The 11116-nt window shown below is 57.0% G+C and overlaps 4 annotated features.

Annotated features, from left to right (window-relative positions):
* Positions 1-501: an enhancer, noted in NCBI's record as "H3K4me1 hESC enhancer chr4:8764548-8765048 (GRCh37/hg19 assembly coordinates)". NCBI's record gives its function as "activates a minimal SCP1, AML or CMV promoter by ChIP-STARR-seq in primed H9 embryonic stem cells {active_cell/tissue: H9 hESC(primed)}" and the evidence as "EXISTENCE:reporter gene assay evidence [ECO:0000049][PMID:30033119]".
* Positions 502-1002: an enhancer, noted in NCBI's record as "H3K4me1 hESC enhancer chr4:8765049-8765549 (GRCh37/hg19 assembly coordinates)". NCBI's record gives its function as "activates a minimal SCP1, AML or CMV promoter by ChIP-STARR-seq in primed H9 embryonic stem cells {active_cell/tissue: H9 hESC(primed)}" and the evidence as "EXISTENCE:reporter gene assay evidence [ECO:0000049][PMID:30033119]".
* Positions 2359-3219: an enhancer, noted in NCBI's record as "H3K4me1 hESC enhancer chr4:8766906-8767766 (GRCh37/hg19 assembly coordinates)". NCBI's record gives its function as "activates a minimal SCP1, AML or CMV promoter by ChIP-STARR-seq in primed H9 embryonic stem cells {active_cell/tissue: H9 hESC(primed)}" and the evidence as "EXISTENCE:reporter gene assay evidence [ECO:0000049][PMID:30033119]".
* Positions 8533-9050: an enhancer, noted in NCBI's record as "H3K4me1 hESC enhancer chr4:8773080-8773597 (GRCh37/hg19 assembly coordinates)". NCBI's record gives its function as "activates a minimal SCP1, AML or CMV promoter by ChIP-STARR-seq in naive and primed H9 embryonic stem cells {active_cell/tissue: H9 hESC(naive and primed)}" and the evidence as "EXISTENCE:reporter gene assay evidence [ECO:0000049][PMID:30033119]".

Genomic DNA, 11116 nt, shown 5'->3' on the forward strand with positions numbered 1-11116 from the left:
AGATGGTTCATCTGGGAATAAACGTCACCTGTGAAGGAGGGTCACCTGTGCAGGTGGGTCGCGTGCAGGTGGGTCGCCTGTGAAGGAGGGTAGGTATTCTGTGGAGATGAACCACCTATAAAGGAGGGTCATTTGTGAAGGGGGGTGGTGAGATATTGGTCTTCCCCACCCACAGCAGAGGCTCTGGGTCCTGGAGGAGGTGAAGCCCTAGGCTAGTAGCCTCCTGCCCACAGCGGCCTTGGCAGGGGCTCCTCAGAAGGTGCCTAAGTGGCAGGGTCAGAGGACAAGCCCTGTGGTCCCCGCAGATGATGACCACGGCAGCCACATCAGCACTTGTGCTCAGGGACACAGGAGCCCTTCAGAGGCTCTGCCTCCTGTTGCCAACTTCAGCAGCCCAAGCCTCTACTTGCTTCGGGTGAGGCCCATGCCTGGTGCCCCAGGGTCAGGGTGGGGCAGCAGAGTGAGTGGCCCCTAGGGGCTCTTGAGGCACAGCTGCAGGCAGTGGGCATCAGCAGCCCCTCAGCCGCCGAGGCCAGCTGGGCCACTCAGGCTGGGTAATTTGCACGTGGGGGCTTTGCCATTGGCTTTGAAGTTTGTGAAGTGAGAGCAGCCAGTCGCCTCCAGGTTCTCTGCGATCACAGGACATTGCAAGGTTACATTTTTCAATGAAATAAAAATCACGGAGCCAGCTGCTGGCATCCCTAAACACAGCGCCCGCCGCTGCCGGCTTCTGACGGCTGCAACCCTTGTTGAAAATATTTACCCCCATCAGGATGGGCTGTTTCTCGTCCGCGGTGACCTGCAAGAATTTGAAAATAGAATCATTTAAAGCCCCAATGGAGAATTACTCGAGAATTACTTGGGCCGTCTTACGTGTGAAGCACTATAGAAAAATGCCCGCGTTTCTCATGAAGTGCTGCAAACTCCGGTTTCTCACTAAAATTCAGGAAAAGTTACTTGGAAGTTTTATACAAATTCAACATGAAAAATTGTCCTAATTATAAAATACAAAGAAAACATAGCGCATTTCTTTCCTCCGAGTCCCCAGGCCAACTCCACTTTACTCAGAGTGTCATACGAATGACACCATTTCTTTGCATGGTGTGCTGAGGAAAAGCGTGGGCAGCCCGAGGGAGCCCCGCACAGGCTGCAAGGAGGCCTGGGGGAAAAATGGGGTGCAGGGGGCGTGGTCAGAGCAGCAAGGAGGCCGTGGGGCCGGTACAGTGGCCAAGGAGGTGGAGGTGGAAGCTGAGGCAAGAGGGTCCCCGGCCGCCCCTTGGAGGCCAGGCTGAGTGGCTGCGTCTGACCCTAGGATGGGTGAGTAGGTGGGGGATTTCATAGGGGGCCACGGTTTGTGAGATGCAAAGCCCCATGGGTGGGAGGCCAAACCTGTTGACCCCTCAGTCTCTGTACGCTGAGATGTGGCCTGTGTGTGATGGGGGCTCATAGCTCCACGTTCCGCTGAGGGCAGGTTGGCAAACTTGTTGCTGGCGGCCCCAGGGCCCTGCACGCTGGCTGCGCGACACTTAGCAGGGAAGCCAGAGCCCTTAGGGAGGCATTGAACACTTCTGAGCACTTTGCATAGGTGACCCCCCCCACTTCAGAGACATGCCCCTTCCCCAAGATGAGCCCCTTCCCGGGGGGCTAGTGAGGAAGGCTCTGGGCACCTGGGGTGCGCAGCTGGGACGGGGAAATTAGCACAGCACATTAACACAAGGACGCACGAGGATAATGTGCTCTCAGGAAGGAGATCGATGGGCCCTCTCTGGGTGCCTGAAAGGAGTCCAAGGTCAAATGGCTCGGGGCTGCGGGCTGCCGGCGGTCAGGCTTTCGGTGAAGCCACGCAGACCCCAAGGAAGGCAGTGCTGAAGTTGCAGGTGCCAGGCCAAGGCCTCCCTTCTCGGGCGTACGCGGGGCTTCTCCACCCCCTCCCCTGCCCCGTCGTCCCCACCAGCGCCCCAGGATCCACTCTCTTGGCCCACCCCACCTGTCTGGGAACTCACTTTGCCACCTCCCATGCCCCCAGCTCTGCCTTGGGTGAGCTCCCAGACGGCCTCGATGGCACCCAGTGAGGTGGGCCTGCCTTAGATGGGACGCTCACGTTCTGCTAAACAGGAAAATGCCTTTGCCACCTGCCCCAAGAAGGAACAGATGGAGCTCATTTGCGCCACGGGAAACACAAGACAAACCATTTGCCAGCAACTGTCTGTGTGCCCAACGCCAGATCACAGGGTTACTCCTGGGGTCTTGCCCCCAATCTACAGCCACCTGGTCACTTCCAGGGTGTCATCTCCATCTTGTTGACAAGGGAGAGAAAGCGGCTCCCCCTGGGTGGTGTAGCCAGGCTGGAGTCGGGCTAACCTGTCTCCCCACAGCCGGGTTCTGATCGGATGTGACCCATGGATTTGGCCTCGTGCTGCTGGATGGAGCAGCCCTCGAAGACAGCCCGTGCTTTGCTCTGCTGAGAGGATGAGAGGCTGCCCCATGATGCTGTGGCCACACAGAGAGGCCCTTGGCTGCAAGGGCAGGTCAGCCATAAGCAATGGCCCCCAAACAACATCATCCCCAGCTGTTTGCCAAAGTGGTCGTTAGGCAGAGGACGGCCGGTATGACAAGAGTTGTACCTACATGCCCTGCGACAACCCAGCAGGAGACAGGCACAGGCCACAGCCAGGTTGGGGGACAAGAGTAGGGAAGGGCTTCAGGAGATACTGGGGGGACTGGCCTGTCCTGGGCTGGGGCAGGCACATCACAGGAGGGTCATTTGATGAGAGCAACAGAGAGAGAGAGAGAGAGTGCCCCATGTACCATCCATGTGTCAGCTGGCCCTTGCCAGCCACGCACACAGGAACGGGCCCTTGCCAGCCGCACACAGGCCCTACTCTCCTCATGTTATTCACTCACTGACTCATTCACGCACTCACTCATTCTTTCATTTGCAGAGTGAGCACCTGCGAGCCGGGACCTGGGGGTGGGTGCAGCCGTGTGTGACAAAAGCGTGCTGCCCACGGGGCTCCCTGTCCAGAGGCAGCAGAAATGAAGGAGCCAGACAGCGTTGGGAGGAGCCCGGCCCCAGAGCCCAGAGGACTTGCTGTGAATGTAGCAGAGGAGGGTCAGGGTGGGATTTGCTCCAGCCCCTTGGGTCAGGGCCTGCGCAGTCCACACCTCTGTCTCCCTCCACATCTACAGAAAGAGGTGACGTTGGTGAGGGCCAGGACACATGGCCAGGCCTTTGGTGGCAGCATTGCCTCCTCACCCTCATCAGCCCTGGCACCCCCGGCAGTGACCCCCACCCCCAGGCTCTCAGGGTCCTTCCTATAGAACAGGATGTGCCTTGAACCTCCCAGGAGACAGTGGGCACTGAGCAAACATTCCTCCTGCTGTCCTCCCATGCCAGTCCCCAAGGCCACCAACCTGGCCCAGGGTTTCCTTCCGTGGGTGTGTTGAGGAAGCATGTCACTGCTGGATTCCACCTGCCGAAGTGCTCCCAGTACACATGCAGGGCTCTGAGGTGTTCCCTGCTCACAGGCGGGGCTCCGAGGTGCTCCCTGCCCACAGGTGGGGGCTCCAAGGTGCTTCCCAGCTTACAGGTGGGGTTCTGAGGTGCTCCCTACTCACAGGCAGGTTTCTGGGGTGGTGCCCGCTCACAGGTGGGGTTCTGAGGTGCCCCCCACCCACAGGCAGTGTTCTGAGGTGCCCCCTGCTCACAGACAGGGCTCTGAAGTTTGTGGGTCTTGCTGCCACCCTCCCAGGAGACAGACAGGAACCCGGCTGGGTGAGTGATTTGGAAGGAGGAGGGAACATCACTGACCCCTCTCACAAACAGGAAGGGCAGCCTTGCTGAGCATTTTACTAAATACCCTGCACTCTGCAGGCATGATCCCGCACAAAATGGATCAAAAGCCGGGTGATCGGACCATGCCTGTGTGAGCCCCTCATGGCCTCCCAGGGAAGGCCCTTGGCACCCAGGACAGAGCCCCTGTCCGCCCACATCCCCTCCCTGCTCCCCCGACCTGCCCACCCTCACCTTCCCCTCCGTCCTGTTCTGGCCACGCAGGGTCTTTCCACTGCGGCGTCTCCGCTGACTCTCACTGGGGACTTGCCCCTGCTTCGCACCCAGTGTCTGTGGGGTCCAGTAATGCCTGTGGAAGACTTTATGGGCAAGAAGGGTTATTTACTATTTAATCGGGTTTTAACTTAATACACAACTTATTAAAGTTAACATTGACGTTTCATATTCAAAAAGCCAATTTCCCTTGAGCCGTAAAGCTCGACTTACAAATCTCATTGTACTGTTTATAAAGCTAGTCATTGTTGAATAAGAAAAGTATCTTTTACGTGTTCTTTAAGTAGCATCCGAGGCACTGAAATTAAAGACCTTAGCCCCCTGTGCTTTATTTGCCTACTCCACACATCTAATTAATTACACCTTTTAGATTGCATTCATAAAATTAATATTTTTAGAGGTTTTATTTTTTCCCTAAGAACTTCAAAGGCCTGTCAGGGTATTCTTATAGACCTAACATAAAAACCTTCCGAAGCACTTTAATAGCCCCTGGAAATAAAATAAACTGTATCCATTGCTATGCTGTCAGTAAGTTCATTCCAACCCTCTCCTTCATTCTATTTAGAACCACTACACTCTCGGCATTGTCTAGAGTGGATGTGGGTTTTTATTTTGTTTCGTTTTTGAGACGGAATCTCACTCTGTCGCCCAGGCTGGAATGCAGTGGCATGATCTCGGCTCACTGCAGCCTCCACCTCCTGGGTTCAAGCAATTCTCCTGCCTCAGCCCCCTGAGTAGCTGGGATTACAGGTGCCTGTCACCACACCTGGCTAATTTTTGTATTTTAAGTAGAGACGGGGTTTCACCATGTTGGTCAGGCTGGTCTCGAACTCCTGACCTCCACTGATCCACCCGCCTCAGCCTACGAAAGTGCTAGGATTACAGGCATGAGCCACCGTGCCTGGCTGGATGTGGGTTTTTGTGCCGAGCTCATAGCCTCCTCCGGCTGCCTTCCAACCTAACTCCACCCCCTGGCCCCTGGCTCAAAACTATCCCCCAGGCTGTAGGAGGGCCAAGGATGCTCACCCCGCTCCCTCCATGCTTGCCACAAAACCTTCTGGGCATCTCCTGCCTCTGTGCCTTTGCAGCGGCTGTTCCCTCTGCCTGGAATGCTCTTCCTCCTATGTCTGCTCAACCTCATGGCATTCAGGCTTCGTCTGGATGGCCCGGGAGGCTATCAGGGCCCTGCCCTGAATTGAGCCCAGCCACCGTCCTTGGCTTTACTTTCCCACGTGGCATTTACCACCACCGGGCCCCACCCATGGGTCTGCTGTGGGTTTGCTGTCAGCCTCTCCCTGGAGGTCAGCTCCTGGAGGGCAGCACCTTCTGCTGCTCACACCTCTGTCCCAGGCTACCCTGGAAAGAGTCTGGAACAGAGGAGGCATCAGCAAGTGTTGACTGGATGAATGAATGAATGAATCAGTCTGTCAATCAATCAACCAACCAGATCAATCGCCCTCACAAAGATGATCCCTTGCGAGAGGGCCGTGCTGCTCCGGGTACTGTTCCACTTCAACGTTCCTTCCTGTTTCTTTCTGTCCCAAGATTAAAACATCACCACCGAACGGGGAGGGTGGGGACATGGCCATCATTTCAGGCCAGCCAGGGTTGCTGCACCGAAGTCCAGGTGGTCGGAGAGCCGTAGAGCCATGGCCGTGTGCTTCGTGACGTCTGTCCCAGGTCACCAACTGCTGAGCCCTGGCCACCCTCGCAGCCACCCCAACTCCATTCCTGGTTCAGGCCCTTGGATGGCCAATAGGATTCACACTCCTTTCCTGGGTATTCTTGTCCTGGCCACAAGGCCGAGGTTGCCAAAGGGTACTGCTGACCCCCCGTTACCCTCCTGCTCCATCCACCCAGCGCATTCACACTCCCACAGCTGCCCCCGGGCCATGTCTGTCTCTGCCCCTGGGTTGCTGGAGACATCTGACTCCCATCCCACCCTCACGTTTGGGTAAACAGAGCCCCCTCTCTGGGAAAGGGGACAACAGCTGGGCTCCTGGTGGGGACGCATGGAGGTCAAGGAGCCTGCAGGCCACCAGCACCACAGGAGAAGGGTGCCCTTAGCGCCTGGCCATTTGGACCCAGTGTGGCCATCACAGCACTCCTTAGGAATGTGTCATCTATTGTATGACACTCTCTATCCAGTGCAGTGTGTGACAGCATATTAAGGACTGCTATTTCAATTACTATGAATAATAGAGCAGCCTGGGGAACTGACTGCCTCTCAGGCCCTGGAACGAGGAAGCCACAGTGTTGACATTCACACACCTTACAAAGTCAGGGACAGAGCTGGATGGGGGCGAAGAGAGGTGGTGGGTGCTCCACGGGTGAGGAGGTGGGTGCTCCTTGAGTGAGGACCTGGGTGCTCCTTGCATGAAGAGGTAGGTGCTCCTTGAGTGAGGACCTGAGTGCTCCTCGGGTGAGGAGGGGGGTGTTCCTTGGGTGAGGACCTGGGTGCTCCTTGCATGAGGAGGCAGGTGCTCCCTGGGTGAGGACCTGGGTGCTCCTCGGGTGAGGACCTGGGTGCTCCTTGCATGAAGAGGTAGGTGCTCCTTGAGTGAGGACCTGGGTGCTCCTTGCATGAAGAGGTAGGTGCTCCTTGAGTGAGGACCTGGGTGCTCCTTGCATGAAGAGGTAGGTGCTCCTTGAGTGAGGACCTGGGTGCTCCTCGGGTGAGGAGGTGGGTGCTCCTTGAGTGAGGACCTGGGTGCTCCTTGCATGAAGAGGTAGGTGCTCCTTGCATGAAGAGGTAGGTGCTCCTTGAGTGAGGACCTGGGTGCTCCTCGGGTGAGGAGGTGGGTGCTCCTTGAGTGAGGACCTGGGTGCTCCTCGGGTGAGGAGGTGGGTGCTCCTTGAGTGAGGACCTGGCTGCTCACTGCATGAGGAGGTTGGTGCTCCCTGGGTAAAGAAGTAGGTGCTCCTTGGGTGAGGAGGTGGGTGCTCCTTGAGTTGGGATCAGGTGCTCCTTGAATGAGGACCTGGGTGTTCCTTTCATGAGGAGGTAGGTGCTCCTTGAGTGAGGAGGCGAGGACCCAGATGCTCTTTGCATGAGGATGTGGGTGCTCCCGGGGTGAGGACGCAGATGTCTTTGGGTGTGGCTGTCTCCTGCAGACATAGCCACTGTCCTCTGTGTGCTCTGGATCTGTGCTGCAGCATTAATGGTTGTAAAGCCTGTCCATCCTTCAGTCTCTCTGGAGGCCAGCTGTGTGTGAGGCACATGTCACAGTCAGACATGTGGGGGCCCCCGCTGGCCCAGGTCACTCCCTGAGGCAGGGGTGCTGAGAGTGGGCCCAGGCCCAGAGATGGCAGAGGCCACTTAGGGCAGATGTGGCTGCAGAGAGCGGGGTGGACAGTGCCGGAAGGTGCATCTCCACTCCTTTTTTCTGAGACTTTCTGGGAGGTTGTCAGGGAGACTGCCAGGATGGCCTTCCCACCACCAGGATGGCATTCCCGCCGCCAGGAGGGCAGTCCCGCCGCCAGGAGGGCAGTCCCGCCGCCAGGATGGCAGTCCCATCACTACGAGCACAACGTTTTCCATTTCTCTATTCCATTTTGTCATTTTTTTCCTCACTCTCCTCCTTAGGATCCTGCCAGACAATTTCGCCTTTGAAAGAAGGGCCATGTTCATAAACTGGGGCGAGCCTTCAGGCCTCTCGGGGTCCTCCAAGCAGAAGGGGGACTGGGAGTGGACTGCGCAGGGGTTGAGAGCAGGGGCTTTGTGGCCAGAGGGCTGTGGGGAAAGCCCAGATCGGCCTCCAGGGACGCGTGACTCCGGGCCTGTTACTTAACCTTGCTGTGCCTCAGTTTCCTCACTTGCAAAGCAGGGACATTGTGTGCCAGCTTGCTGTGAGATCTCCTCAGTTTGCTGCATGCGGTGCTCGGGTCAGGTGGCTCACAGCGGGTGTCCAGAAAGCCGCAACACTTTGGGCTGTTTCCTCCCCTGCGCAAAGCTCCCTGAGTCAGCTTGCTCTCAGGGGCACAAGTGTAAGGCTGAAATAAACGCCAGTAGAGCGGGGCGGGGTGGAGGGGGGGGTGGGGGGCAGCAAGTTGGTGGAGCGCAAGGCTCCCCTCCGTGCTCAGATGAGGAAACTGAGGCAGAAGTGGGCCCTTCTATGCAACAACTGAAGGGTGTGATATGGAGGGACAGAGCAAACGGGAAGACTGCCTGCCTGGGCTCCTCACTCAGCTCCCTGGGCTGTCAGCTGCCCTGTAAAGGGGGATGATACTATAGTAATAATAGTCAGGAAGTGGCTTCTGAGAAACGCAGGCTCCTCCTTTCAGCACAAATTTGCTGAACACCTAGTTGGGTCTAAGCCTCTGTTGAGCCCTGGCAACAAGCAGGGAAGAGTCTGCGGCCTGGGGGAGCCCAGGGTCCTGCAGTACAGACGGGCAGGAAGCCAGCAACAGTGGCCCCAGGCAATTGGCACCAGGAAGCAGAGGGCAGGGGCCACAGGGAGGACTGTGACCTCCCCCACGAGGATGCCAGGACCCAGGCCGGGAGGCAGGGCCATGTGAGCGACCACCACCACTGGGGAGAAGAAAGCTCCTTCCTGCTGCTCAGCCCAGAACGCCCTGCCTTGTGTGTGCTGGGGTGAAATCTGCAGGGAGCTGCTCCTGGTCAGAGCTCCGGCTTCTCTACACCTTCCCGGCTGGGAGCACTTCCCTGCCTCCTGCATTCCGCAGCTGCCTCAGCTGTAAAGCAACGGGGTAAGAGGACATCCGCTCCATGGCATGGTTGAAAGGTCTCCCTGAAATCACAGGGGTGATTCTAGGCAGGGGAGAGGGACCGAAGTTTGTCGGGAGTCTCAAGACGTAGAGACCTTCCAGAAAGGCTCCTCCCTCTTATGCTGGCACCGTGCAGGCCCTGAATAAATGTCTGTGAGTGTCTGTAACTGTGTTTGGTCCGTGCCTGTGAGGGCGCGGGGAGTTGGGCGGTGTGACTGCAGTAACAGCGCTGAGAGGTAGTGAGCTCCTGGTCAGGGGAGGCATTCAATGGGAATGTGAGTAATCTCCAGCCCCGCCTGGCTGGAGCACAAACCAGATGGTCTCCAAGGGCCCCCTCCCTCCACAGCCTGTGAGTCCACAAGTCTAAGATTTGGGAATTCTCAGGTACAAGACTGCTGATTCCCCAACATGGATTAAACACTTCCTGTGTGCACCCTGGTGGGGGAAAGCAGATATCCTTCCTGCACAGGTGCAGGGACACCCAGAAGAGTGGCAGACCTGTCGGGAGGAGACCACTGACATGTCTAAGATTCTGAGTCTGTGAGTTTAAGATTCTATAATATGAATATCCTATTACCATTATGGCTCATAACAGTGGTTACTCCTTATTGAGCACCTACTGTATGCTATGGTGTGTGGCCTGTTCTGGGGGCGGCCTTTAAATTATTTACTCAACCCTTTCAGAGTGAGAGGGGTGCTTACATTTCCCCATGTAGAGATGGGGAAACTCAAGCTCAGGAGGGGAGGGCCCAGGGGAGCTAGAATAGAGGAAGGCAGAACTGGTTAGTAGCCCAGGCTGCAACCAAGTTCCTAGTTTTTAAATATAAGACATTAAGACCCCTTAGGTACAAAACTCTATTAGTCCGTGATACTCAGCTTCTGACTATTACTTTAAATTTCCATGGCTTTAAGCTTATTTGGTATGCGAGCCCAGGCTCCTGTGCTTTAAAAGTGCCAGCTCCCAGGCGCTCAGGGCCTCAGTCTGTCTCCCCTGCCACTTCCCTCCTCGGGCCATCACAGGTCCCCCGGGCTATCACGCTTGGCTGTGGGAGCTGGCCAGACCCGGTTAATTGTTATAAAGCACTTAGACACTCGCAGGCGTCAAGAGCCATGTCACACCGACATTATTTCATTACCATTCCTTAGAGACAGAGCCATCAGTGAAGGTCTGAAAACAGGACTCAGGGCCAGCAGCCTGGGCCTCATCCACCTAGGAGCAGCCCTCTAGGGCTGTGGGCAAGTCATTTAACTCCTTTTAAAACTCCCAGCTGGTTGCAGCTCGGGCTTCTAGCCAGCTCCGCCTTCCTTATTCTAGTTCCCCTGGGCCCGCTCCTCCTGAGCCTCAGTTTCCCCATCTCTACATGGGGAAATACAAGCACCCCTCTCACTCTGGGAGGGTTGAGTAGATAATTTACAGGCCGCCCCCAGAACAGGCCACACACCATAGCATACGGTAAGTGCTCAATAAGGAGTAACCACTGTTATGAACCATAATGGTAATAGGATACTCACATTATAGAATCTTGGACTCACAGGCTTAGATGTTCCTGAGAGCAGAGAGAGGCGGGGTGTCCCTGGGCCCAGGGCCCATCCTGGAGCAGCCGGAGGCCATCGGGCCACCCCGCACAGGGCGTCGGGGGACTGCAGGGGGCAAGCTGTTCCCGAGTGCGCCAGACTCCCTGGAGCGTCTTCCAGCACAGGTGGCCTCTGTCCACGTAGGACGCTGAAGGGCTTTGCAGACCCGCAGTGGGCTTTTGTTAATCTCACCCATGACTGCATCTAAAACTGTGTTCAAAGCCGCGGCACCCACCCGGCACCTGGCTAGACAAGCGTGGGTCAGCTCCGTTCATTCCTCCCTGCCTTCGTTCATTCACTCAGTAGATGCTATGGGCCAGCCTTGAGCCAGGCCTCGGTGACAGTGGGGCAGGTGAATGAGTGAGAGCCCTGGCCCCTGGGACCAGCGTCTCTCTGGGGAGTTAAGCCCATGACCATGACTGTGGTCTTTGGAACGAGTGCTAGGGTGGGGTGAAGGGGAGGTGCCCAGCCCGCCTGGTGGAGGCCAGAGGTGGCTCCCAGGGAAGAGGGCGTGTGCCGAGCCCTGCAGATGAAGGGGCGCAGCCAGCAGAGGGGGACACGGGAGGACAGCATGTGCAAGGCCGGAGCCCAGGGACACGTGGCTGCGGTGGCATCCCGCCCGGCCCCCGTGCCTCTGGGTAACGTGTGCGGAGCTCCTTGGAAAAGGTGTCTCCTGCCCACACCACCCTCCCAGCGTCCTGCGCTCAGCCTCACTCTCCCTCAAAACTAAAGAACTGAGTCCCACCC

The sequence above is a fragment of the Homo sapiens genome, chromosome 4 (assembly GCF_000001405.40).
Source record: "Homo sapiens chromosome 4, GRCh38.p14 Primary Assembly".
NCBI classification, from domain to species: Eukaryota; Metazoa; Chordata; class Mammalia; order Primates; family Hominidae; genus Homo; species Homo sapiens.